The sequence below is a fragment of the Homo sapiens genome, chromosome 14, assembly GCF_000001405.40.
Source record: "Homo sapiens chromosome 14, GRCh38.p14 Primary Assembly".
Classification (NCBI taxonomy): Eukaryota; Metazoa; Chordata; class Mammalia; order Primates; family Hominidae; genus Homo; species Homo sapiens.
In genome coordinates, this window is record NC_000014.9 from 28,770,735 (window position 1) to 28,798,194 (window position 27,460).

The following is a 27,460-nucleotide window of genomic DNA, read 5'->3' on the forward strand; positions in this document are numbered from 1 at the left end:
TACAATGGGCCCAGTGAAAAATAATCTGGCCCTAAGATGTTATCAGCAAACACTTAGACAGTTGCTCAGGGGGAGGAAAAAAAAAAAAAGCCTAAGGGAGAAGCAAGCTTACTGGAATAGATTTGAAACTGAAATGCTGAATACTTAATATTGGAAAATAGAAGGGGGTGGACTGTGGAGTGGAGAGAGGGAAAGAGAGAGAGAGAGGATCTTTATGGTGAAAAAATAATTACCACCAAAAAGAATGCATGAGAGAGAGAGACATAAGGTGAATGATAGAGAGAGAGAAAGGCCTAAGAAAAATATATAAGGGCCAGGAAAATTAAAAGAGCTGGAACCAAATATACACAAATGGGGAATGGACAAAAATAAGCCAAGACAGCTAGTTTAATTATCTCCTTTAAGCAATTAGACATGATTTTATTTTCTTAGTATAAAAACAGTTTCACCAGAGGTCCAAATTTTCTTGAAATTTAAGTTCTTCAGAATGAAGCATAAAAATATTTCACAAAAAATTATTGTGTTAAAAGTCAAATTTATGGCTGATATTAAAAATAGTAATAAAGTCCAAGTGAATGGTTTTATGCAAAGGAAATCCCCATTACACATTTTGAACCAAAATAGCTCAAAGAGAGACATGTGTCCAAGCTGAAAAAAAGGTGATGATTTATTGTTTGCTTTTGCCATGGATTTTATTTGTGGAATAAGAATGTATTATCACAGGGGAAACATAGAATTTTGCTTACCAAACGTTAAAAAGAAAGTTGAACTCTTGTGCTAAGGTAAAGGGGTATAGATATAGAAGAAAGTTTTCCTGCATGAGTATTTTTTTTGGCCACATTAAATAAGTATACTTATTTGTATTTATAAGTGTTTATTTGGGTGACAGATAAATAGAATTTTAATGGCAAACATCATACTTTGAAGTCAAGAGTAAAACTGATTTCTTTGAATTCATAGAAACGAAGTATTGGAGTGGGAGTTCTGCTTGGACCCATGTCCAAATTACATATAATGGATATGACTAGAAGTTTGTTAGGTGTACTAGACACGAAGGTGGATATATGGAGAGAGAACTTTGTAAAGGCTTCCTGAAGCCCAATATGAACATCTCATTTCCCTTGATCTATCTTATCATCCCTCAACTTATCTTCTCAAAAAACACATGACAGTCTGGCATGGCATATAATACATTTTTGCATCGAACGGGTTGTAATGTTGTGTTATTTGTTGTCTCCAACTTTGACCGTTAAAATTAGTTTATGTCAGAAATACACTTCAAAACTTTTGAGGATTATTTTCTTTCATATTATAATTGTTTTTAATAAGATGAAGGTTGTCCTTTGTGAAATTTTGGAACTGAAACTGATCACAACTTAAAACTTGAAATCCCAAATTAAAGTTTATTTCCAGGTTTAAAGTATTTTACTTGAATTTGTCTGTTGTAAAGTTAACAAAAAATATTAATATGTAAAACACTGAGAAAATGATGTAATTGAACTAGAGGAGTTAAAGTATTATTTCAAATATGTTTCTTCAGCCTGTTACAAAATTGGGAACCAAGTGAACATGAAGTCTAGAACTAACAAGGTTTAATACAAATATCCTTATGGTCATGGAAGCCTTCATGTAGTTTATGTGACTTGCATAAAATCAAAGGCAGAGAGGCAAAAATTTAGTCTCATAGTGTATTGATTTTAATATATATTTAAGTTGGTGCATATTTCACCCAAATACGTGGATAAATTCAATATATTTAGAAGTCTATAGAAGTGTAGTTTTTTAAAAAGTGTATTTTCTACAACATTGTTGAGGAATTTGCATGCACTGGGAAAATTTTGGTTTTGAGAAATTAATTTTATGAACAGCTAAAGTGGTTGGTTGTGTTTGAGACTAAAAGCCTGTTGGAGAATTAGACTAACAAAGGGTGAAGGTGAAGATCATTAGAGGTTTTAGAACTGGCTGAGATGGGTTGCTGGGGTTGTGTAACTGTGCCTAGAGGGCGGGGTTCCTGTACATTCCTACTTCACCAGATAACCTGCCCCCAACACCACTTCAGCTTCTGCCAGACAGATGGAACTCTCCAGCATGAAAATCTGCGCAGCCATTCCAACAAGCAGGGTAGGTGAAACTTGAATTAAAATTCTCCCCTCTTTATTTTTCTACTTAAGTCCAGATCCTGGAGATATGGAAAGAATAGAGGTCATCTAGATTCTCTCTTTTGGGCACACACGTCTGCATTCTTCCTAAGAGCTACCTACCTGTAAGAGTTAAAAGGTGCTAGAGATCTTTCCCAGTTAGTACTTCATGCTAGATTTTCTTTTGCGTGCATTTTTTTTTTTTTTTTAAGATTTCTTTTCTCTATACCAATCATTCCCCTTTTCTATTCTCCCTTCAGGGCCCTTTCCCCTCAATCACTAGCAGTTAAAATAACCCACCTCAGATTTTGGCTCCCAAAGGCACCCATTCCCCACCCTAGCGGTCAGTTCTAGGGACCTTATCCTGAGGATGTAGGCCAAGGGGGCTCCAGGCTGGCAAATAGATGATGTATTGTTATGTTTTGTGCCTCTTGTCTCCCTCCCGATTTCTACTGTGTTTTGTTTTTGTTTTTCCCCACCACCTAAGGCTCTGCCTGAGGTTGTCCGAAGGATGCCGAGGAAAAGGATATCAGGACTGGAATGGCTCTTACAGCAAGATCCGTAAGTGAAAGTGCTTTTCAGAGGGGAAGGGGTAGGGTAGGGAATATGTGTAACTGACTGCTTTGGACTGAGTTTTAACGCCTGACTTTGGGGTCCTGGCCTTAAGTGTTCATCTTTTCTTAGAAAATGTTAGCAGGCTCGCTACCAACAGACGTAGCTGAAAGGATGCATAATTTTTTTCCACGTTGACAGAAATCACGGTGAATCCCCAGGTCAAAAGGATGTAGACACGGCAAAGGAACATGGAGAGAAAACGAGAAAAAATTATACGGAGAAGGGGTAGTGGGAGACTGAAATAGGTCCTAAAGTGTAAATTAATTCATTTCGTGGAAATATGATTTCTGAGTCTTATGGTTGCTACAGGAACTTCCGGGACGTTCTTAACGCTCAAAGACAGGTTTATTAGCTATCCTTATTTCAGTTAAAGCTCTTTGCTCCAGAGCCAAGAACCTGCTTCTCTCTAAAGTTCTTCTTTGGATCGCCCTTCTCTATTTGCACACTAACATAGCCAACCTTCCCCAGAGCTGGCCCTCCGCCCCCAGCTCCTTGGCCTGGGTCACACCAGGGTCCCGGTCGGATTTAGCCGGGCTGCTCCGGGTCGGGTGAGGCACTGGGTGCGTGTGGGAGTCTTCTCTTCTGTCTCTTCGAAAGACTAGGGAAATGAACACCGTTCTGGGCTTGACTTTGTCCCTGCTGGGAATATCCCAGTTCCTGGCTTTGGAAATCTCAGGCAAATAATTGATTCTTAATGCACACTTAGGAGACGTCGGTAGTACGCTCGAGAGCCTCTCTGTCCCAGAGTGGCTGAGAGCACGCGCCAGACACAGGTTGGCTCGGCCCGAAGCGAATTTGGGACTCTCGTCGCGGTGTCCTATTAATTAGCTTTTCCCGGCGCCTCAGGGACTCCGGGGTGAAGATGGAGAGGTGGCATAATGGCGGGACTTGAAGTCGTTGTGGCAGGGACCTGGCAGCGTTGTTTTCTCGGGTTTTGAACCGGTGTGGAGAAGTAACTTCAGCTGCTGAGTTGGGGCCGCCCTGGCTGCGCGGTGGCGGAGGAGGAGAGGAGAAGCGCTCTCGGGACATTGCGGCGGCGATCCCCGCAGAGGGTGAAGCCGGGCGCTGCGCAGGGAGCAGCAACATGAGGGCGCTCTTGCCCAGGACAAGCAGAGCTGTACGTTTGGGTAGCTCATATTGGCTGATGCCAAGAAAAGTGACTTCAGAACCTTGGCTGGCGCGCTTCCCTACCTTTTCCCTTTCTTCTTAATCTTCTGTGTGCCACCACCTCCCCCCAACCTTTTTTCCCCTCCCAAAGTTGTTTCCTTTTGTTTACCCGGTGCGGTTTCAGATCTCAGCACTTCTCAGCTAGTAGATAAAATTATTTGCTCTGTAATGGACATCTCTTCTCCTCTCCACTTGTTACCCCACTCGCCCTTCGCTTTCTACCCCATTTTGCTTCTCTCTGCCCAAGCCTGTGGTCCAAGGTGCAGGGATCTCACAGGAAAACAGGTAGCCTCGGGGTGGGAATTCCCAGAGCACTGAAGGCGCCGGTTGTTGGCCAGAGGGAGGCCGGGACTCCGGTGGGCAGAGTACCCCGCGAGTGCGGAGATTTTCAGGCTGTAATCTTCAGTCTGGGAAAGGCGATGGGAAGGAAGGGCGATGCAGAATAGAGGTGGTCCACTTCTGACTCCCCCCTCACCCGCCCTCCCCTGCAAGTAAGACTCAATTTCTATGATTCAACACCGCCTTCACCAGCTCCTCTATCAAACCTTGAGGTAGGCAGACATTCTGAAAGTGTTGTGATCAGAAAAGGCATTTAAAATGATAACAAATAACTCACAAATTATGTTTGTGAGGGTGGGAGGGAAAATAAAATGCCCCATGTTTTTTTCGTGGTCTGTTGCTTAGCACATGTAATCTTTTTCCCTATCTTCGGTCCTATCTTCCCTATCTTGCAGAAAAGCCGCTAGGAGGAAAGCATGTTGGACATTTACAGATTTGAGATTCGTGTTGGAAAGAGAGGGAGTGTTTAATTAACAAACATATTTGGGTGTTCATTTTCGGCTTAGGTTGAATTTGCCTACTCCGCTGGCACTCCCAGAAACTGGAGTCCTCGCTTTCAACTTTATTCCTCCTCATCTCTTCCTATTGTCTCATTCTTTGAATCAATGCGTTTAAGGTGAAAACGTATCTTCCTGCGTAGACGTTTTTGATTCCGTTGATTGAGCACGAAGACTAAAATCTGTAATGGGGTTATGGAGACTTGTCTCTCAGTTCTTTCATTTTCTCATTGCTCTGAAATTTAATGACCTGATCATTGTTGTTTGAAGTTAAATTATCTGTTAAATTAGCCCTAAATAATAACTGATGATATTTTCCTTTTGGATTCGGTTGCCCTTGAATTCTTGGCCCTGGATGTGAGAGAAGTCTGAGAGAGTGTTTTGTGATACAATATTATAAAGACAATCAAAATCAATATTTGTGTGCCAGTGATATCACATAGGAAAAAATCCCTTTCAAAGTAGCTGAATTTCATAAAGAAGACATTCTTTTAAAGGCTTGTGCTTGAGAAGCCTGGATTCAAGAATGAATGTAAATAAGCATCTTTGTTGATGAAGAAAAAATATGAGCACTGTATTTTCATTACTCTCCAGAATCTAAATATTCAAACTCATCACATACTGGTGCTTGCTAATCTAAATCAATTCGGCCTTCCAGGGATACATATTCTCAAAAAGAAAATTTAACTTTTAGCAAAATCTAAAACATTGTTTCAGATGTGAATTTCTAGAAATCCAAAGTATATTTATTTCTTTGAGTCAGATACTAGTTTGTTTTGCAATCATTATATGAAACAATATTGAAACAATGCAGTTTTTGTTCTCCTTGCTTGCTTCATGGTGCTTCCATATACAAGTATAAGTGTGAGAGCTTCCATAGTGTACTGAGGAAATGACAACTTATTTTTTTTTAACAAAAGGCCCAAAGAATCTTTAAACCAAAATGTACTACAGTAGTTGAAAAAGATCTTTAAAAATAATAAGCACTATTGTGTGTTTTTCCTATTAAAATGTGCTGAATGAATAATTAGAGGCTGGGATAAAGGTTGAAAAATTCAGAGCAAGAATTAGGTGGTAATTTTATTATTTGATACTTTTACAATTTATATAATTAATGATGTCATTTTAAAGTTTGGCAAAGCTTTTGCAGAAAAAACAGTACTCCTCCCATCCCATCAGAAATACACTAGAAGGAATAAAGTACATTCAGGTAGAACTGGCAGAAAGAATTTTTTTTCCAGTAGTAGTAGTATTAGTGGAGTTGAAAAATATACTTTTAATTATACATTGCAAGCTCTGATTGCAGGTTAGAAAACTAAAATCGATCATTCCTACATCAATAGTGTTGTCTATTACTACATTGATTTGTGTTTATTTATGCAGAGACTTTCAGTTATTTACTTACATATTTCAGCATCTGCCTCTTGATTATTATCGTAGGTTGCTTTTAATGAAAGAGCTTATATAGGAAGCGAAACACACTTGACAGATCCATTTTAAGTAAACCTGATAGTGAATTATGGCAACCCAAGGAGATTATGAAATTACTTATTCATACTTGCTTTTTAGCAATTAGGAATCTGTTTCTGATTAAAACCTCATGCTGCTTGAAAACTTCCATTCTTTTCTTCATACATTGTATTGATGTGCTTCAATAAAATAGAAAAAGATGATTTTGTGATGTCAGATATAATAGAATGAAACTGCTAAATGAGCTTGGTTGTCTTTTTCCATTGGCATGATGAAGTTACCCTCATAACAATAAGCTGGCCATTGGGTTTATTAATGCTGTTTATGAAAAATCAAGTAGCAATCATTTGAATATAGACATGTGTTTTAAAACATCTATTAACTCTAAATTATGCCAGGGGTGCTTAGGCTGAATGAGACAATCTGGAGTTCTTGAGTATATAGTTTATATATATACTCATATTTTGTATTATTTAGCATTATGTGTGATTATAACTTACAAAGATAGACATTTCTCTTGAACTAATATCTCACAGGAATGTTATATATCAGAATTCATTTGAACAAATAGGAAAACTAAAGACCCCGTAATGTGCCTTTTATAAGCACAGAGCAACAGTGGGATATCGAGATGCGTTAATGTCTGTGCCTCTCTTATCACCATTACAATATATTGAAAGATAACTTTAAAATTGAGAGAAAAAAGTGACCTAATTTATTGAGGGCTATTTAATGCTCATGTTATAGGACTTTTATTGAAGTCTGGAGGAGTAATTCTTCCTTGTTAACAGTGTGGATACATTTAGCAAATACTGTTAACAGCCCTATTCTTCATCTTTTGCGCCAAGCAACCACCCCCAGTCCGTGCAGGAATATAACAATTTTTTTTTTTTTTAGAACGATAGGGCCTTGGGAGATGGAAAAGGAATTAATCTTCTCACCCTGGCGAGTTTTCCTGAAACTACTTATCCTTAGCGTCAGCGCTGTAAGAGGTGGAGCCGCTCAGTCCCGCGGGTGGCTGCAGACAGAAGGTGGGCGAGTCCTGGGACTTAAAAAGTTTTGCAGAAGGTTGAAAAGAGGAGCAGAGGGAGAGTTTTGAGTTTATTTATTTTATTTTCCTTTTTTTTTTTTTGTCTTGTGCCAAGCCCTTGAAGTTAACGTAGCGACGACGTGGTCCTTGTAGGACCAAGCATTCTTGGCATTCTGTCGAGATTGAGATTCCAGAGCATCGGATGAACGGGACTTATAGCTAAGGCGTACTCACCCACCCCTCCCTTCGTCTTTTTACGCACGCAGCAACTCGTCCTCACGTGCATAGGGGTAGTGGACAGTGTTGACTTGAATTGCTGTCCCTCGTTCCAAGCCTTTCCTGTGAATGAACCCGAAAACACTCGACAGGTCGTGAATAATCGTTTTAATGAGTGTGCAAAGCGTGCGACGGGGTGCACCGAGCTGTCGGGTTAAACAAACAACTTGTACCCTGACCAAATCCGATTGTTAAAGTGCAAAGTGATGTCAGTACCATTTCCATTGCCTTTCGGAAATCCACAGATCTGACACGCGGGAGTCCAATTTTCCCCATTAAAGAAAAATAACAATATTTTTCGACCGTGTATGTGATCTTCTTTAATATTAATCTGAGCCAAACAAAACCTCATTTGGAGAATCAGAGAATTAGTCGTGTCTCTCTCAAAGAACAAATTGGAAGAAAGGAATAAGGAGAAAGAAATCAGAACAAATATAAAATGTCTGAGGGATAATTTCTTCTTGATAGCTCACATATCACTGCTGATCAATGTTGTAAAAATCTTCCTTTTATATATTGCTTTATAGCTCACTAAAGGCAGATGTCAGGTTACTTGTATCCAAACAACTGGACTGGTAATTTAGTCTTGTACTAAGATGGAATTTGTAGACCTGTAAGGGCTTTTTCTATCAAATATTTAACGAAAATATTTGTTGTTTGTATATTAGCCTGTGAGAGAATAAAGGTATAAGTCGTTTGCACATTTGTGCTTTCAAAGAAAAGAGTTTGGAGGAAAGTAATGGAAAAGGAACCCTATTTGGCTATTATCTAAAATCATAACAAAAAAATACAAATGAGATTTTCACTGATTATACCCTCCCCCTTTTTTTGCAAAACTACACTGGAAAATATTTTCTTTCTCATTCAGTAAGAAGACTTATTTGAAATCAGTCACATGTTCTCCCTTCCTTTTTGATTCTTTTATCTTCTTTCATAATTCCAAATATTAAATATCACATGAAGATTATGAAAAAAACTTCAAAAGATTTTTATAAAATCTTTTACACATTCCCTCTAAAAAATCTGTGGAAAGAAGAAATGTGTAAAATATTTCCCCTACCAGCATTTTTTATATATTCACAATTCAAACAAAATGGCCATGATGCTTGGAAATCAGTATTCTAGTGCCACAGATCTAGCTTCTTCAACTCAGTAACAACATAGGGAGACCAAAGCTTATATTTTTGTTGGATTAAGTATTATATAGTACATATTTTCTATATGAAAGACAGAAAATATATGATTCCCTGCAATCTGCAAGGTTATTTGTTCTCTTTTAATTGTAATCCATTTGGAGAAATGAAATTTTAGGGATATAGTACACTTGAATGTGGAAGCTCAGCATTTACTCACTTAACTCCTATTGGCCATAATGTTATCTACATATCTGTGTCTGTCTGTTGTGACCATCTACTTCACATACAAATATGTCTATATACAACTGATAGCAATTAAGAGAGTTAATTCAACTAAAACATACAGCTGAGGTATTTGAAAGAGTAAGCAATTTTTTATGTAAGTCATTGTAGTTATGTTATTGTGGTTGCTAGTTTTTATACATCTGTCAATTTAGCACCAATTGGATAAAATGGAAGAGATTGAAATTCAATTTCCATCATCAAAACTTGGAAAAGACAACCAGGGTTTTAGGACAGTGTTTTTGTTTATTTTAACTGTTCTCTAGTAAATATCCGTATCAGATTATCAATTCAGAATATCCTTTATTTTGTAGGAAATTTAACAGAAAAATTAGTATTAAATCCTAGGGGCTTACAATTTTTAATTGTTTTAAATATTTTTGGGTAGGCAACAGACTGTGCAGTTTTTACCTAAACAGATTTCTTCTCTGTGGACTGGAGTTGAGGAATTTCAGGAGTCACTCAAAGAACTGCATCCATTTCTGCTTTAGATACACAAACAGCAAAGCTAGAGGGTATGTCTGTTTTTGTGTGTATATATGTAGTTAAAGAACTATGCTATCAAAACATTAATTATATTTGAAAGAGAACAGAGCATGTTGTGAAGAAAATTGCAATATTGAATTTATATTCCACAGAATCTGTCTGAGAGGGCTGAAATTGTATACCTGTCTTATATGATGCACCCTCTTCAGAGAGGTGCCTAACAAGAGCAAAGAGATGAAAGAGTCAAACTTGGAGGGGAGTGATCTTAAATGTTTGGTTGGTCCTGAGCAGCGGGAATCCACATGAAAATGCAAACCACATGAAGAACATACATGGGATCTTTGTTCCCTGTCAACAAAAACAAATAGAATTTTTTTTTCCTCTACCAAGCAAATACAGAATAATCTTAGCTGAATTTGGGGGAGGGGGAGTGACTGAATGACTAAGAAAATTTCAGTTATCATATTTTTTTATCCCCAAGTCCTATTTATTTCACAGCTGCCAAATTTTATGTCCAAAATTTAGGTTCTTTTCCTCCCAAATCCTACATTAGTATGAATCATCCCTGATCATTTTTAGTTTTTGGCTTAATTACTAGTTTTCAGCTTTAAATTACCAATAAACTAATTAATCTGACTAATCTTTCTAAACTTCTGTTGAATAGTATAATAGCTGCAACAACAACAAAAATAAATAACAAAAATTACAATAATGACAAAAATAAACTGTTAATAATAATAATGCAAATAATAGCAGAAACAATTTTAAAATAATTTATCTGGCTGACAGGATGAAGATGTAATCCATTTCAGTCTGAAATTTGTGGTTCACAGCTGCAGTCAGGCATTTCTCTGATTTCTTGTTTCACTGGTTAAATGGATGATCTATTCCAACCCAAGTTTCCTAATAGAGACTCCCTTGGTCTAATATGGTATGTCTTTTTAATGGCACTGAGTATTTTTGTATCCACTCCCCTTTATTGCTATGGACATGCTGCCCTGCAGATGACATTCCCAAATAAACCAACCTTGGCGGGGGGCGGGGACGGGAAACTGGGTGCGGAGGCAGACATGTGAAAGGATTCTTGGGTAGAAGGACCAGGTGCCTTCTGACTGGAGCCCTGCTGGTGAGTGGGCAAGTTGTCCTATTTGGGAAGCAAGTTCACAGAGCTGAGGAGTTTGAGAAGGGCTGAGTCACTGAGGTTCCTGTGAGTCCAAAGTGATCACTGGCCCTAAGGAAGCCAGCCCATAGGGCAAGACATAAGAAGTAGGAATTAGATCCCCCAGATGAACTCTTTTGATTCCTTTAGGGATAGAGAGACATAAAGAGGATAATGAAGTGAAGGCAGTATACCTGGAGGGAAGACAGCAGGTTAAAGATGTTAGTAACTGGTGTTGGTCTGGCAAGTAAATCTCAGCCCATTTCTTCAGGAGAAGGGAAAAATGCTTTTGTGAGCTGTAAACTTGCCAAGGTTTATTGTTTAGGTGAAAGAACAGCCATCAGTTCCTAGGACTAGGCTTGAAAGTATCTGCCAGCGAGTCTGTGTCTGCAGTAATCCAACTCTCCTCTCAGCCCCATGTTCTTCTCATCTCATGAACCCCCAGGCACCATTATCCCCCCAAAAAGAAAATGAACGAAAATTAAAAAATGGATTGGGAGGGAATTAGACTCAATATTTATCAGGAAGATACTGAGGTGAAAGCAGGTTGTTTTATAACTAACTTCCTTCTTTTGTGAGAGGGAAAAGAAAGCTGGTTAGGAGAGGAAGGGTGATTATGAAAGAGAACAGAGACTGAGACAGAAATTCTTTGGCAGTCCAGCAGCTAAGGCCAAAGGGAGAAGGATCTTAGCTATAGAAGGACAATTTTAGGTCAAGGAAGAGTAACCATTGAACATATTTTCTTTGTTCTGTTTACTTGAAAAGTAATATAGCCTAGTAATGTATGTAAAAGCAAGATCTGTACACCTTAAAAATTATAAAGAGAAAGGCATAAATATCAAAAGCAAGTGTTATCCTTTAGAAAATTTTAATGAAGATATTGTCTTCAAACTTATATATACACACTATCCCAAAACCAAACAGTAGTTGAAGGAAGAAAGGGGGGTGAGGGGGAAAGGATACAACTTCCCTGCTGTAGTACCATGCATCTGTCTTTTCACCTTTCACGGCAGGGAGGCTGAACAATCCTCTTTCATTTCATTTCTTCCTAGTCTTTTCATTGTTAAAAGTATGAGAAAAATTCCAGCTCATGAGAATATTATTTCACTAAAGATCAGCAAAGAATGAGGAGCTTTCATGATAAATTCTCTGAGGTGATGTTCAGTCTTATCTCGCCTAAGTCTGCAATGGGAGAAATGCAGCTCTGGCTGTAACTATGTATCAATCTATTCTTCAATGATACCCCCAGGCTTTCTCACTGCACTAATCATAACTACTAAATTCACTCCAACTCTTCTGGAAGTACAGTTCTGCAGCTTGAAATCAAACAGGAGCTTTCCATATAAAATGAAATTCTAATTAAAATAGTATTTTAAGAAAAATACTGTTATTATGATAGTTTCATCTTTGTTTGAATTGTTCCTTTGATTAAGAAACAAACATTTGTTTCAATAAGAAAATGAAAAGAAATCAGCACTGCCAGTAAATGTGGCCTTCAATCCTGTTACATTTACTCCCGACTGGCTTTTGAGAATTTATTTTCCAACATTTTGGTTTTAATAGTATATAACTGAGAACCTCCAACTCAACAGAAAAATGCATAACTAAAATAGTGTAATACTTTTGTCATGACAGAAAAAGAAACAATAAAAGCAGTTATTTCAAAGTAGTAAGTCATGCAGACACTATTACACATGCAGAGTTTATGGACCCATTTAACAAAATTAATATGCTTCTATATCCCAGTATCTTAATGACTGTTTAGCTAACCAGATACTTAAACCATATATTTAAATGCTTATGCACCTATATTACATATACCATGCTGCATATGGTTCAAATATGTATGTTCTTTACAGAAACTGAAAGCTGAACAAATAGTAGTATTTCTAAGTTTTTGATTACTCATAATTGGGATTTACATGCGATCTATAAACACTGAAGGAAAGCCAGAACCACTACATTTTGCTTAGATTACATTATGAATCAAATAAAGGGTTCTTTCTGTCTTGGGGTGTGCAAGAGTGAGGAATTTAGGGGTTGATAGAATTAAGATATATATTTTTTTTTCCGTAAGTCAAGATGCAGTAATTTTCTTCTTCTAACATTCTACTACTAAGTAAAATAAACATATACAGTTTCAAAAGCAGGAGCCGTAAGCCCAAGTCAAGAGATGATATTTCAGAAAAGATATTCAAATGAAGCTCAATAACATTTTTTCCAACAAAGAAAATTTCAAGGCAGATACAGCCAGATCTGTTGCACAAGTGGCAAAGCAAAATATTTTAGTAATGGGCTGTAGGGGGATTTAATGGACTGACACTCTGAATATTTAAGAGTAATATTCCTTTGAAGAGAATTGCATGATCGTCTATCAAGCTCCTTAAAAGGGGTGAGGGAAGGAAAGGTTTGGAGGGTGGATTATGTCCAAGCATCTCAGCTATTGCTAGTGGTGAAAAGATATGACCTGGGTAGAATGGGAAAGGTTTTGATGACATGAGAGGATCTGCAAGAGTCTATTGGCCCTATCATGTTTATTCTCTTTTAGGTACACATTTCAAAAACATATCCTTTCCAACAGGCTCTCGTTTGCAGTCGCGGCTTCACAGACAACAACCAGCTTGCATTCAACTGTGGTCCAATGCATCAGTCTAGTTTTAAGAGGAAAACAATGGACAGGAAAAATAAAGTTGCAGTCTTATCAATGAAATTCTTATTCTCAGTTGGAGAATAGGGAAAAGGGAGGCTCCAAAACAGGGTGATGGGAGGGGAATAATAACTCTTTAGGTGAGTTTTGGGAAAATGCTAAGTAAAATGCTGTTCAGAAATTGGGATTAATCGAGCAGTTTAAATACAAATCTGCCGGAAATTGGAAATCGTGCTCTGTGCGAATGAAAATGAAAGACTTTATGCATATTCTAATTTTCTCTCTTTGGCTGCTATTTTAGAGGAAGAGACTTCTTTTGCTGATGGTGGGACTTTTTTGTTCTGCACAGGAAATGTGTAAATGAACACAAATGTTTTTTCTTTTGCCTTTCCATTCCTCTCTTCCATTCTCCCCTCCCCCTTTCAACAATCTGAAGTTGTTAGGGTCCGCAGTTCTGCCGCCACCGATCCCAGTGTTACTTCCCATTCCCAGGATGTTAGAGGGCAGGCAATGTAGGCAGGACAGGACAGTTAGGGCTCCTCCGGAAATTAGACCTTTGGAAATCAATGCAGAGTTTCTATTACATTTCTGGACATTCAGAGAGCTAGAGGATGAGAAAGACTCTTGGTTGAATATGATGAAAAATCATCTAGATGAAAAATCGTCTAGAAAGTCATTTCCTCTCAAACCGAATTCTCAGTGACAGCTAGGTGGAAGAGAGCTTAAAAGTGATTTTATAAACCACGCTGTGAAAACCTACTGACGATCAGTCCCCTGTCCAAACACTTTTCCTCCCACTCCTTTGGGAACATACAGGGATGGTGCATTTTAATTACATTAAAACCAGCAAGAAACTCTTGTTTTATTCTGATGTAAATCAGTCACCTAATGCTGAGAAGGACTGAAGTGGCTCATATGGTCGTTCTGTGTTTTGTAGAATACGTAGGGGACTCCTGAAATGTGTGGGATGTAGGTAGGGGCGGGAGCGACTCTGTGGGGAGAGAAGGGAGAAAAAGATTGAGAGAAGGAAAGAGAAGTGTATTTGCAAGGCAGGCTGACAATTTCTCAATTAATTTGGGGCAGAGACAGAAAGACTCCGAGTTTCTAGCTTCTTTTCTATACCTCAGATAAAAAACTGAAGACAGCCTTATTCTAACAACTCAATTTAAAAAGAGCCCCCCTGCGTACGTCCCCGCACCCCTTTCGCCCCAGCGGCCGCTCACAAAGCGCCACCCGCGCCTCGGGCGCCCGCAGAAGCCGGAGCCAGTTCTCAGCCCTGATCGCCGCCAGCCGCCCAGGCTTCGGGGAAGGAGGGAGGGGAGAATAATGCGCCCCTCTTTCAATAAACGCCACTGCCAACCACTCCAACAGACACACTTTCGGTCCCCCGCCAGAGCTCCGGTGCCCCCGAGTGACCGCTTTCTGCGATCGCGTCCGCCGGGACCCCGTCCCTCTTTCCCCTTCAGTCTTCAGGGAGGGGGAGGCGCTCCGCATTAGCGGGGCAGTTCAGCAACCCCGACCCCACCCGCGTGGCTCCAGGCCCAGGGGTCCGTTCACTTCCCCGTCCGGTTTGGGGGACGCCAATTCGCCTAAGAAAACCCTGGCAGAAGAGCGCGGACCCTTCACTACAAACCTCACGTCAGGGTTACAGCCACATTTAGGAACCTCTTCGGAAAAGCTGAGAAATCACTGTTTTGCAAAAAGCCTTCTGTACTGTGATGGGGCTTTGTGGTGAGAGGAACCTCTGAGAAGCCTCGTGCGGCTTGAGTTTAGAGTCACGCCCTGCCCAGCGACATTCTCCCGCGCACGGGAGAACCTGCACTTCCGGTCTCCAACCCTCGCGGGCCGTGACTCTTCCCCTCCCCCGCGCCGGGCCCTGCATTTCCGGCCCCCTTGCTCTCCTGCACTTCCGCCCAGTCACATGGATGATGGATAGCGTTGGGAGCTGTTTTCTCTATCTTCCAGGTGGCTGCTGGGATCCTAAACTTGTTTCTTTAATTTCTCTTTAAAAATTGAATGTCCTTTAGTTTTTTTCACTTCCTTAAATTTGAGGGTCGAGAAAGCTAGAGGTGGAGACAAAAGGCTCATTGAAGACAAATCTTTTTTGGCTTTTCAGATCACTTACCCCTTTCTGAATTCCCTGTACAAATTCATACCAGTAACTGAGATTTAGGCCTCCAGGGCCTAGGCCAGTGTCTGCACTTAGTAGGCACGCAATACATGTTGAAAGAATTACTGGATAAATGATATTCTGTCTTTAGGCATATCATGCCTAGGGTTAATGGGTATCTTCAAATCAGGTGACTTCTGTTTTTGGCTGAATTTAGTTGAAAAGTTGATAAATACATGGTTTTTACAGGCACTTAAGTGTTATTTATTTAGGGACTCCCCAAAACAGGTGTGGGGGAAAATCACCACAAATTGTTGGAAAAATATATATATAGGGTTTTTTTGTTGTTTTTTGTTTGTTTGTTTGTTTTTTCTGATACATGGTCTTGCCCTGTTGCCCAGGCTGGAATTCAGTGGCGTGATCTCAGCTCACTGCAACCTCTGCCTATCCGGCTCAAGCAGTTCTCCTGCCTCAGCCTCCCAAGTAGCTGGGATTACAGGCGCCCGCCACCATGCCCAGCTAATTTTTTGTCAGAGGGGTTCTCACCATGTTGCCCAGGCTGGTCTGGAATTCCTGACCTCGGGTGATACGCCCACTGGACCTCCCAACGTTTTGGGATTACAGGCCTGAGCCACCGCACCTGTGCTGAAAATATTTTCTTGGACTTCTTTCTACATATGAGGTAAAGTGCTGTGATTTTTAGGTTTTTGAGTTTTATCAACTCTCACCCAGGCTGGAGTGCAGTGGTGCCATCTTGGCATACTGCAACCAACCTCCGCCTCCCGGGTTCAAGCGATTCTCCTGCCTCAGCCTCCTGAGTAGCTGGGATTATATGTGTGCACAACCACGCCTGGCTGATTTTTGTGTTTTTGGTAAAAACGGGCTTTTGCCATTTTGGCCGGGCTGGTTTTGAACTCCTGACCTCAAGTGATCCTCCCGCCTCAGCCTCCCAAACTGCTGAGATTGCAGGCATGAGCCACTGTGCCCAGCATTTTGCTTTCTTTTAAAACAGCTTTATTTGATAAGAGGTCAAGACCTTATGAAATGAATTTAAATTCTTGTAGTGAATTTGAGGCAGAAACGACGACTCCTCTTTTATTTTTCCTGCTGCTGTATTATAGTTTAATTCACTTCCGTGTTGTCTTCTGCCTCATTCGGCAGTTCTTGTTCTCTATAATAACTTTTATGTTTAAATGCCAAAAGAATTTTTTTTGTAACCAGTTAAGAGTTGTGAAGTTGTGAGACTGAATTCAGTTGCTCATCATGTTTTAAATGCATATCTACTCAGCACTGGTTGTGTAATCCACAGTCTGTTCCCTAGAGCATTTAATGACCCACGTTCATTGACTGTAAAATACTCAAAATATATAACCAGTGAGCTAGTAATCATGACAGTGATTTGAAATGTTATAGTTGCAAGTCAATATAAAGCATATTTATTAGCATCATTATTAAGAGGTGTCAGAGGGATACAAATAAGACCTGCTCCTACCCTCTGGGAACTTACAATCTGGTTGGGCAAAATAATGAAATGTAAATTGATAGAAACAGCTACTAACCCATATTCGGTGTCTGGCATATTGAAGGCATTCAGTAAATAATTACCTCACAATAATTGCAGTCCTGTCATTCTTATAGTAGAATATGATATTGATAAGAAGTAAAGGAAGGAATAATTAGTAAAACTTTAGGAAATGAATTTGTCCTGTATATGTCACACGTGGAGATTGGAATATGCAAGTTGATTGTGTGTAAGAAGAATAAAGGGGGCATAAATAAAGATGAGAAAGACGTTTGATGAGATGGAGTTTGGTGGTAAATTGAAGGAAAACTTAAAGACCATTCAGAGGAGTTTCTATTTGATAGTAGAGGTAATAAAGACCCATGGTGGCCCTACGAGCAGAGGATGACATTACTAAAATTGAGTTTTATTTTAAAAATGATTCTAGGCTGGGCGCTGTGGCTCATGCCTGTAATCCCAGCAATTTGGGAGTCCGAGGTGGGCGGATCACCTAAGGTTAGGAGTTCGAGACCAGCCTGGCCAACATGGCGAAACCCTGTCTCTACTAAACATACAAAAATTAGCCAGGTGCGGTGGCATGAGCCTGTAATCCCAGCTACCCAGGAGGCTGAGGCAGGAGAATAGCTGGAACCGGGGAGGCAGCGGCTACCAGTGTATCTGAGATTGTGCCACTGACCTCCAGCCTGGGCGACAGAGCAAGACTGTCTCAATAAGATAAATAAATAAATAAATAAAGATTCTAGCCAGCAACTGAATATAGGGAAAATTGCAGGAGAAAAGATTAGTGCAGTTCTGGAATGTGGTACTGTTAGAGAATGGCTATAGTCAGAGCTATCATTACGTCCCTTCTCCTCAATTTTTATACAATTGAAATTGCATTGAAATGATGAAATCAGGAATGAATCTTGCATAGAACAAAAGCCAGAGTACCACTGGAATCAGTACTACCCCCTTATTCTTCATTATTGATAGTGACAGGGGATGTTAGACATTGAGAGAAGGCAACTAACCCCAAAATATTTTCATCACCAGTTAAGCTCTAGATATTTTTTTTTTTTTTTTGCATTTAGCATATCCACCCATTATGCAATTGCAGTGGTTCTCAACTGGGGTGATTTTTGTCCCTTTCCTCCCCTGGGAGACTTTTCACAATGTCTGGAGACATTTTTTAGTTACAGCACCTCTGGGGCCACTACTGACGTCTGGTAGATAGATGACCAGTGTATTGCTGAACATGTTAAATTCACAGGATGGACCCCCATAACCACAGACTACTATGTCCAAAATGTCAGTCATTCTGAGCTTGGAAAACCCTCAGTTATGGGAATGAAGCATGAGCTCCAACTCTGGAGAGCTGCACCATGAGTCCCAGGTCTTAACTTCTATTATGGCAACAATTTCAATCGAAGAAATGTTTTGCTTAGTGAGACAAATATAACTGAATATCCCAGTAACTTTGCCTACCCCTGAGGCCTTAGAGACAAGAAAATCAGAAGGGTACCTGCTTGGATTTTCTACTTTTTATAAAATAAAGTTAGAAATCTTCTTAAGGATTTGTCTTCATCTAAATGTTATTTATTAAATTAATAAAATGTGCCTTTGGAGTTGCTTAGCAACTTATGGAAAGCTTGCTTTTTAGAAGTTCATTTGTTTGTTTAAAACCTGGATAGGTTGCATATTATTAGCCACATTACATAAATCAACAAAGAAATGTACACTGAAAATGGAATAAGATGTTTCAACACATTTTCTTCTCTCCTGTCTGGCAATTAAAACACTCTAATTGTCTGGTAGAATTGCATCAAGTATTCGACAAACATTATTTATGTATGAAACTTCAACATAATATTGAGTATGTAAGAGAACCAAAGGGGAAAAATTAAACAGGTTTGTCATAAAGTATGTGTTTATCTTAACCTTTCTTCTTCAAAAACCTTATCTACTAAGTAGTTTTATCAGACACTAATTATACGCTTTCTGAATAGAATTTCTCCAACACCCTTCAGTGCCTGCACCCTTTAATCATATCTCATTACATCTACCTAATCCATATCTTTTTCGCATTGCCAGGGCTCATTAACAGTTTTAAAAGCCAATCTTGGACATTATCACTCCTTGTAATCGAAATGAAAATAATGCCAATAATGTTGTATTTCTAAAATAAAATGGATTATTTAAATTTTGTTCTGAAGCCATTTCTTCTTTAAATATTAATGAGAAATTAACTTTCAAACATGCATTAAGCTAGCAGGACTGGTAAGATGTGTCTGAAAACCCTGAAGCACCTTTTCAAAGAAGTTATTTTTATAAGCTGTTTTAACAGTGGATCATCAGTCACTTTGAAGGGAAGTGATCCTTGATTAACAGTTGGCTGATATTGTGTTTCCACAGATGTGTGGCAGCAATACAGGTGCTATGCATGAAATAGTACAGGTAATTCACAGGATAAATGCATTTTCTTTTTCTGATGGAAAAAGATGAAATGCTTCTTCGTCTTTATATACTGCCCCCATTTAATAGTTATTGACAAGACAAACCAAATGTGTCACTGAAATAATGAACTACAGGCACTGCGTTTCCCATAAATTTAAAGAAATCATTGTCAATTTGGCTAGTACTTTATTCCTTTTGATTTCCTGTTTTTAAAAAAGAAAACTCTTACAAATCTGCAGTTACATGACTAAAGTAGAGCATCATGATAATGACTTTTTGGGACTTGAAAGTCAAATCTTGTCTCTCAGAATATAATTACATAGGACTAACAAGTTATTCTCTAAAATGGAAGCTTCCTCCACCATTATAATCAAGCTTCAGATTCTTTCTTGAAAGTAATCAGGAAAAGTTTACTGGCCCATTATTTATTTATTTATTTATTATGCACATACTATTAAGTTACAGAGTTCAAAACAACCACTAACCAAAAGTCATTGTCCAAAAGTACAGTTTTTTGAGGTGGTGTGCACCTGTGATCCCAGCTACTGCAGAGGCTGAGGTAGGAGGATCACTTGAGCCCTGGAAGTCAAGGCTGCAATGAGCTATGATTGTGCCACTCCACTCCAGTCTAGGCAACAGAAAGAGATCCTGTCTCAAAAAAAAAAAAAAAAAAAGTACAGTTTTTAGACAAGTATCCCAAGCTATTGTTCATTAGTAGTGGAGACATAATAAAGTTTTCATTCTTCTTTGAGTTATTTTCCCACTCATTAGTTTAGCCAGATAGCAGTGATCTCTTATTTTAAGTGTTTTGTCAGCTGTTTCTTCCAGTTTTTCTTTGGAGTATATGTATTTTTTCTTTTAGAATTTTGTGTTTCTTCTGATTTCTCTCCATTAATATGGCTCATCTTGTTGCTGACTACAGAAACTTTTTAAGCAGAATCAAATGAAACCATATAGTTGCTGAGTTTGGTTTGTATTGTCATATCTTTTATAGTTGTACCATTGCTAATAATCAAATACAGTAATACAATTAGATGTGTAGAATCTGTAAGATTTTTTTTTTCCAAGACTTCCTTGGAATTTTCTCTTTTAAATTCCTTTTATTTATTTGTTTATTTTTTTTTTAGATGGAGTCTCGCTCTGTCACCCATGCTATTGTGCGGTGGCATGATCTTGGCTCACTGCAACCTCTACCTCCTGGGCTCAAGCGATTCTCCTGCCTCAGCCTCCCGAGTAGCTGCAATTACAGGCACCTGCCATCATGCCTGGCTACTGTGTGTGTGTGTGTGTGTGTGTGTGTGTGTGTGTGTGTGTGTTTGTGTATTTTTGTAGAGATGGTGTTTCACCATGTTGGCCAGGCTGGTCTCGAACTCCTGACCTCAGGTGATCCACCTGTCTCAGCCTCTCAAAGTACTGTGAGCCACTGCATCTGGCTCCTTTTATTTATTTAATCATATTTTTGTGTGTGTGTGGGATAACATTGCACCTGCTCGGTTATGCACAAGTAATTTACCTTTCTTTGCTTTACTGAAATAGCTTGAGTATTCAGACCTTACCAAATTTTTATGGTGACATGATAGACAATACTTATTTAAATAAAATTTCTTTCATTTTATTATCAATTAAATTAACTCTATAATAAAAAATAAAACTTGGTGAACTTAACAACATAGCAAATCACCATAACAATTTTAAAATTGCAAACGTGGTATTAATATACCTTAAAATTGTTCTTGCTTTGGTAATCAGGTTTTTATCTTTATTTCTCTTATTAAGAAATTTTGCCTTTTCTATACTGATAATCTTTTTCCTTGTCCTTTTCATGTTGTTATTTTCAGAGGTTTTTCATTAGTCAATACAGTGAAGGCTGGCATGATCATCAGCTTCCCATCCAATAATATCTACTCATCAGTGTGCTGTTGTCAATCAGAGATTTTCAAGTATGAGTTCTCCAACTCAAAGAAAAGTAGCTGGATCCAGGAAGAAAGGCATTTGGGGAAGAACAACGTTCTTTACAGTGCTCATGATGTGTCTCCAGAGAAAGTTACTTCAGCACTAAAAAAAACAAACAAACAAACAACAACAATAAACAACTTTCCTCTACAGTATCTTCCAGGGTCTAAACTATTAGACAGGTTCCTAAGTTTATCCAGATCTCTCCTATGTCTGAATTCTTGGTCATCTTCCTTGCCTCTGGCTCCACAGGTAAAGAAGAAATAATAATAAAGGAACAAAAATTATATGTTTCAGGCCGGGCGCGGTGGCTCACGCCTGTAATCCCAGCACTTTGGGAGGCCGAGGCGGGTGGATCATGAGGTCAGGAGATCGAGACCATCCTGGCTAACAAGGTGAAACCCCGTCTCTACTAAAAATACAAAAAATTAGCCGGGCGCGGTGGCGGGCGCCTGTAGTCCCAGCTACTCGGGAGGCTGAGGCAGGAGAATGGCGTGAACCCGGGAAGCGGAGCTTGCAGTGAGCCGAGATTGCGCCACTGCAGTCCGCAGTCCGGCCTGGGCGACAGAGCGAGACTCCGTCTCAAAAAAAAAAAAAAAAAAAATTATATGTTTCTGTCGGGCTGACTCATTCCACTTTTGAAGCACCCAGTGGATTAATTAGTCTTATTATTGCATTTACTGTCACCTACACATTTGTTTGTGGGAAGGCACTCCTCTTGGCATTTGCTTAGTTGGAAAAAGGAACACTAAGACTATAGCCACTGGATAATGTTCTTGAAGTTCACGGCACTGTGGCAGCATAAAGCTTGAACAGACCTAGTTTTTTTATTGATGGAGTGCAACTGATGTAGCACCACTTTTCTCTGACACTGTATATTAGCTTTTAGTTATGAACTACTTCCTTCCAGTGCAGCAGTTGTTGCCTACCATTGGTACCAGTTTGGCACCATTATAAAGAAACATTGTACCTCTTATAGGAAGAATTTGGAGAGTTTTGGTATGGTAATCAAGATGTGTATTGTAATAATTAACTGAATTCTGTGAACACACTGTTTCTACCTTAAGTGAAAGAAAAAGAGAACAGCTGCAATTATTTATCTTCACTCATTTCTCATAGATAGCCAGGATTTTTCAGTGTACATTCTCTTGTCCTGAAATTATTTTCAGTTCTTGTTGATTCTTATAGATTATAATGAGAAAGGCACGAGCAAGAAATTTGAAATAAAGAACACAAAATGAGATTGCCCTTTGGTTGTTAAAATTGCAGATTTAACAAAATAGATCAGCAAAATATGTGCAAAGTTATCTTAACAGATTAATTCCTATCCAGCAGGCTTTAACAAAAACTAATAGAAGCTATTACATATTTACAGAAAAAAAAATTTAGCCATGAAAGCTACTAAAGAAAAGCCAGAAACAGCGTAAGAATTCCCTACTCAAATATGATTCAGAGACGAGGGTGGGGACTTTATTCCACTGGACTTCAGTCCCAGTGACAAGGCCACTACTATTGTGAATTAATATCAGGCTAATTAAACTTGATGTTATTAAATGTTCTATCCATAAAATTTTTCATTCAGAATTCTTGTTTTTCAAACAACATTCTGGATTATTATTTAGCTGTCAAAGTAGCTGTGTTCTTAGAAAATACATCAGTCAGGGCTGGGTACAGTGGCTCATGTCTGTAATCCTAGTGCTTTGGGAGGCCAAGACAGGAGGATCACATGAGGCCAGGAGTTTGAGACCAACTAAGTCAACATGGTAGGACCCTGTCTCTATCCCCCTCTACCCCCCAAAAAATTAGTCAGACATGGTAGCACATGCTTGTAGTCCTAGCTACTTGGGAGGCTGAGGTGGGAGGATCTCTTGAGCCCAAGAGTTCAAGGTAGCAGTGAGCTGATTGCACTACTGCACTCTGGCTCATGCAAGATAGGAAGACCCTGTCTCAGAAAAGATTAAAAGAAAATAAACTAATCACACAAATTTCAAATATACTATTTATAATGGTAGAAACATTTTAGTGAGCAATGATCCTGGCCTTTAGTGAGGTTTTTCTCATAACAATTTGTCATAAATGAATAATTTCTGGGTAAAACATTATAATTTCATTTTTTCTTTATTTATTTATTTTTATTTTTATTTTTGAAACAGAATCTCATTTTGTTGTCCAGGCTGGAGTGTCCGCCTCCCAGGCTCCAGTGATCCTCCAGCCTCAGCCTCTTGAGTAGCTGGGACTACAGGCATGCTCCACCACGCTCGGCTAATTTTTGTATTTTTTGTTGAGAAGGGGTTGTGCCATGGTGTCCAGGCTTGACTTGAACTCCTGGGCTCAAACAATCAGCCTGCTTTGGCCTCCCAAAGTGCTAGAACTACAGGCATGAGCCATGGAGCCCAACCTGTGATTTCTTTGCTGTGTACCCCCATTTGATGGATAATTTTTTGGCATGTTGATAAACGTCAGGGTGTAAAGTATCCAGTATGAGGGGTAAAGCCAGGATTATAATAAATTTGTCAACTTCAGGTTTTCTTGCTAGCCTTTTCTGTGATATACAAAGTGCACATACAACTACATGGGTAGGAGAATTGTTGAAATAAGTTATCATTGTTCAAACAATAATTTGTTGGAACCAAATATCACCCACAATGCAATTGTCTACCTTTAAAGAATGGCCATAGAGTCAAAAACTTTCTTTTGAATCCTGGATTCACTATTTATTTGATGTGAGATCACCTTTACTTTTATACCATCAATTTCCTCAGTGTAAAGAGTGTATTATTAAAATTCCCTCGTACGGTCACTTCAAAATTAAAATAAATAATTCACATAAATGCTTAGCACTGTGCCCAGAGTATGGACATGAATGTAAAATAATGCCTCGACATTTTATCACTAAGAGTAATAATATTATTATCATAATAAGATGATGTTGATTCAGGATATGATTTGGGCAGCAAAATTTTCACAGGGACCAATTGCAGAATACTCGAGATCATATAGTTTCTAGAAATTATTTCCACTCTAATATTTAGATAGATTACGGTCCCGCCATTGCCGTCCTCTGAAGTATCAGATCTTATATTTATTTTTTGTAATTCTTTATCATTTATAATATTTGAGGAATAAATTAATGAATGAATAATCTTCTAGACTCTCCCAAATCTCTCTCAATGGCTTAATACTATCAAGACTTATTATTCCCTCATATCACATTCCAGTGCAAGTTGGGTGAAGAGTGGGGTGAATCTGTTTCATTGAGTCCCATTTAGTCATTCAGGAACCCTGGAAGTGACTCTGCCATTCTTTAGGGCTTTGGAGTCTTCCAAAGGATACACAACATTGGGTAAGGAGGGAAGAAAGCTTATTGGAGAGCCAGCAGGATAATTCCTTAATCCCATTAACTTGAAGTCAACCACATGGCCCAACCTAATTGCAGGGGAGGTGTGGGAATATAATTTAGCTGTGTATTTTGGAGGAAAAAGAAATGGGCTGGCACAGTAGCTCACGCCTGTAATCCCAGCACTTTGAGAGGCAAAGATGGGAGGATACCTTGCATCCAAGAGTTTGAAACCAGCCTGAGCAACATAGTGGGACCATGTGTCTACAAAAAATAAAAATTAAAAAACTAGCCAGACGTGGTGACATGCGCCTGTAGACCCAACTACTCAGGAGGTTGAGGCGAGAAAATTGCTTGAGCACGGGAGGTTAAGGCTGCAGTGAGCCATGATGGTGCCACTGCACTTCAGCCTGGGTGACAGAGTGAGATCCTATCTGAAGGAAAAAAAAAATGGGTTTGCTGACCACACAGCATTACTTCTGCCCTACTAATTAACCAAACACTGCCACTAACAAAATTAGTTTTACGATTCTTCTATAAATTTTCAGTTACCTAAAGATGGTGAGGAACTCTTGCCTAGGAAATTAATTTGCACATAGTTTTATAGAACAATATATCTTATATTAGAAAGTCTTTGTCAACAAGGATTGGAAAGTATCACCTTTTGATAAGTCTTTGTTCTATAGGAATTCTCTGGATAACTTTTTGTGAAGCATTTATCCTACCTCATTTCTACTTAAAGCTCGTATATATGACAGAGATTATATCCTTAAATGAGCATTTCCTTGCTTTTATCATCTTGTGTCATTATCCCAACATTCTTTTATTATAGTTGTTATTGAGAGCATACTTTCAGATTTAGCATAGAGATTAACTGTGAAATAAGTAAATAGTGAATTGTTTAGTTGGAATGAAGTATAAAAGTCAATGCTTTTAAGAGGTTTTTTTTCAATTTTAACTGCTATTTCTAAGTGACTACAATACTCGAAAAGAAGTGGATTGACAATCTTAGATTTAAGATTTTTTTCTATGAAGAATTGCTGTGACGTTAAACTTTACAAACAATGTAAAACTTTACTATGATTCTCCAAAATATGCTTTTTCAAAAGTTCCACTTTACTGATGAGAGTTCCCTATATTAAAACCCTTTCAGCTCATGAATTCTTGGGGTCTTTCCAAATGAAAGACTTTTAATGTTTCCATGACAGTGTTTACTCATTATGGTTAAGGAAAGAGATTCATATTGCCTGCTTATTTGACACTTTGCCTAATAAATTCCAAATAATAACAAATAGCACTCTAAACAATTTACTTATTAATACCAATAATCTGTTGGAGACTCGTTGTGTATATTTAATGGTTTCCTTTCCACTGAGAGTATTTTCAACTATATTGATACTACTTTGTAAGAAATCACTATTTTAATTATTTTCTCATAATTAATATGCATATATGAAACTGGCATTATATTTTGATATTTTTAATAGAGATTAAAATATCCCTTATTATCCATATTTAATAAAAGACATGTTTGTGATACATATTTAGATACAGTTTTAAATGGCCATTTTAGTTATTAAGTGAAGTTAAAGACTTTTTTTTCAACTTTTATTTTCGGTACAGGGTACATGTGCAGGCTTGTTACATGAATACATTGCCTCCAGTCAGTGAGCATTGTACCCAATAGGTAGTTTTTCCATCCACACTCCCATCTCGACCTCCCCACTCTGGTAGTCTGCAGTGTCTATTGTTCCCATATGTGTTCAATGTTTAGCTCCCACATAGAAGTGAGTACGTGAGGTATTTGGTTTTCTATCACTGCATTAATTTGTTTGGGATTATGGCCTCCTGAAATAAAAGAAACAAAAGATTGACATTCTTTAGATGATTATACATTCATGTACATACTTCTGCTTCTAGTGATTATAGCACTATTAATTCTTATATAAAATATTTGTTTTTTTCCAACTGCTTTTTAGTGCATGCATTTTATAATTTTTCATATAATTACCTGTTTGCAAATTAAAGGAGGCTAGAGAGTTCATTGTAACATCATAATTTTGTTTTTTATGCCAGCCTAACCAACTTTAGCCTTTATTAAATAAATAAAAGTTGAAAATGAATGTTCATAAATACATTAGTTATTTAATTAGAAATGCATATTTTTAATTGAACAATTCTGTGAGAGAAAATGTTTGCAAATATACATTAAATAGTAAAAAATGGCATTTTACTATTTTGTTAAGTAGAAATATATTAAGTATGTAGCCACATAAGAACTGGGATAAGGCCAGATGCGGTGGTGTGTGCCTGTAATCCCAGCACTTTGGGAGGCCGAAGTGGACGGATCACAAGGTCAGGAAATCGAGACCATCCTGGCTAACATGGTGAAACCCCGTCTCAACTAAAAATACACACACACAAAATTAGCTGGGCAAGGTGGTGCACACCTGTAGCCCCAGCTACGCGGGAGGCTGAGACAGGAGAATTGCTTGAACCCAGGAGGTGGAGGTTGCAGTGAGCCAAGATCATGCCATTGCACTCCAGTCTGGGTGACACAGTGGGACTCCATCTCAAATAAATAAATAAATAAAATAAAATAAAAAATAAAAAGAACTGGGATGAAATATTTTTGGCCTTATGTATTATAAGCTCAGTGATCTTGCATTAGCTATCTTTGTATATAGCTTTTTGTTGACTATATTGTTTGTATTATACAAGTTATTTTCTTGATATTTAAGAATAGCAGTTGATTGATGAAGATGTGGTAGCATTTACTGAGAAAACAATTTGAGTTATTTTACCCTTTACACAACCATCGTAAAATTTTCATTTTCATCTACTCTAGCGAATGTGAGCCTGT

The 27,460-nt window shown here is 38.4% G+C and overlaps 2 long non-coding RNA genes across 3 annotated transcripts, besides 1 other annotated feature; one reads left to right on the forward strand and one right to left on the reverse strand.

Moving 5' to 3' along the window:
* Positions 1,970–24,060, forward strand: LINC01551 (long intergenic non-protein coding RNA 1551). 2 transcript variants are annotated; one of them, NR_026732.1, is made up of 4 exons: positions 1,970–2,121; positions 2,626–2,699; positions 7,124–7,257; positions 7,372–7,826. It is a non-coding gene; the product is annotated as a long intergenic non-protein coding RNA 1551 (long non-coding RNA). The 2 variants fall into 2 exon arrangements; NR_026731.1 differs by lacking the exons at positions 7,124–7,257; positions 7,372–7,826 and adding an exon at positions 21,146–24,060.
* Positions 3,557–4,056: an enhancer, noted in NCBI's record as "H3K4me1 hESC enhancer chr14:29243497-29243996 (GRCh37/hg19 assembly coordinates)". NCBI's record gives its function as "activates a minimal SCP1, AML or CMV promoter by ChIP-STARR-seq in naive H9 embryonic stem cells {active_cell/tissue: H9 hESC(naive)}" and the evidence as "EXISTENCE:reporter gene assay evidence [ECO:0000049][PMID:30033119]".
* LINC02282 (long intergenic non-protein coding RNA 2282) lies at positions 12,757–15,053 on the reverse strand. Its single transcript, NR_135255.1, has 2 exons — positions 14,876–15,053; positions 12,757–14,233 (listed from the first exon to the last, which is right to left on the reverse strand). It is a non-coding gene; the product is annotated as a long intergenic non-protein coding RNA 2282 (long non-coding RNA).
* Positions 24,061–27,460: the final 3,400 nt, after the last annotated feature.